This window comes from Homo sapiens, chromosome X (genome assembly GCF_000001405.40).
Source record: "Homo sapiens chromosome X, GRCh38.p14 Primary Assembly".
Classification (NCBI taxonomy): Eukaryota; Metazoa; Chordata; class Mammalia; order Primates; family Hominidae; genus Homo; species Homo sapiens.
The window spans coordinates 44,771,748-44,773,400 of NC_000023.11; the positions used below are offsets into that span (position 1 = coordinate 44,771,748).

Below are 1,653 nucleotides of genomic sequence, written 5' to 3' on the forward strand. Positions count from 1 at the left end.
TGGCAAAGATGTGTGGAAACAGGCTCGCAAGCATTGCTGATTGGGACTATAAATTGATATAAACATCTGGAAGGGACAAGTGACAATGCCTGTCAAAATTATAAATGCACCCAGCAATTCCACTTCTGGAAATGTATTCTACAGATATTCTCACACATCTACAAAATGGCATATGCAGCATTGTTTGTAACAGCAAAAGCTAACAAGCTAAATGTCCCTCTGTAGGGAACAGGTTAAAAAAATTCATGGGACATGCTTATCATGGAACACTATGCAACAACCCAATGAAGGAGGGAGCTGTTTAGATACCAATATGGAGTGATCTCCAAGATCTATTGTTAAGAAAAAAGCAATGTACAGAATACTATATTTAATGTGCTACCATTTGTGGAAATGCATTTGTTTGCATATGAAAAAAAAATCTCTACATAAGAAACTTATGCAATTTGTTGCCTTTTTTTGTTTGTTTTTTGACAGTCTCACTCCATCACCTAGGCTGGACTGCAGTGGCACAATCTCGACTCACTGCAAACTCTGCCTCCCAGGTTCAAGTAATTCATGTGCCTCAGCCTCCTGAATAGCTGGAATTACAGGCGCCTGCCAACTGCGCCTGGCAAATTTTTCTAAGTTTTGTATTTTTAGTAGAGATGGAGTTTCACCATGTTGGCCAATTTTTCTAATTTTTGTATTTTTAGTAGAGACGGGGTTTCTCCATGTTGGCCAGGCTGGTCTCAAACTCCTGACCTCAGGTGATCCGCCTGCCTCGGCCTCCCAAACTGCTGGGATTATAGGCGTGAGCCACCTCGCTCGGCCAATTTGTTGCTTCTTGAAAAGAGAACTAGATGGCTGGGTAGAAGGGAGACTTTCACTCTATTTCTTTTGGTGCCTTTTGAATTTTGAATCCTGTCAGTGTATTATCTATCCAAACAAGTAGACAGAATTTAATAAAATAAATCCCTAATTTGCCTTTTTCTCTCCATCACCACTACCACTTCTTCTTCCTCTTCCTCTTCTTCTTTTTTTTAAGAGACAGTTTCTCTCTATGTTGACCAGGATGGAGGGCAGTGGCTATTCACGGGGACAATCTCACTACTGATCAGCATGGGAGTTTTTGACCTGCTCCATTTCAACGTGGGCCAGTTCACCCAACCTTCTTAGGCAACCTGGTGGTCCCTACTCCCAAGAGGTCACCATTATCAATGTTGAACTTAGTTCGGGCCAGCATAGTGCACTACAGCCCAGAACTCCTGGGCTCAAGCCATCCTCCTGCCTCAGCTTCTGCATAGCTGGGACTTCAGTCTCACTCCACCATGCCTTGTGACTGCCACATCTGTTTTCCTAATGACTGAGTGACTTAAAGGGCTCTTTTTACAAGGAACTTCCCCTAACTCTACTTTCCCCTAACCGTTCTTTCCCATTGCTATACTCGATGCTATATCCAATAAGTGCTAGGAAAGTAAATGAACTATTTGTAATTATAGACATCATTTTGTTTCCTTCATTCATTCCTGGTCACCTGTTTCCCTTTCCCAAGAGGGTAGGAAATTCTTTTTCGTTTTGTTTTGTTTTGTTTTTGAGACAGAGTCTTACTCTGTCACCCAAGCTGCAGTGTAGTGGCGCAATCTCGGCTCACTGCAATCTCCGCCTCCTGGG

The 1,653-nt window shown here is 42.6% G+C and overlaps 1 pseudogene; it reads right to left on the reverse strand.

The window, feature by feature from the left end:
* RN7SL291P (RNA, 7SL, cytoplasmic 291, pseudogene) lies at nt 1,026–1,314 on the reverse strand (annotated as a pseudogene).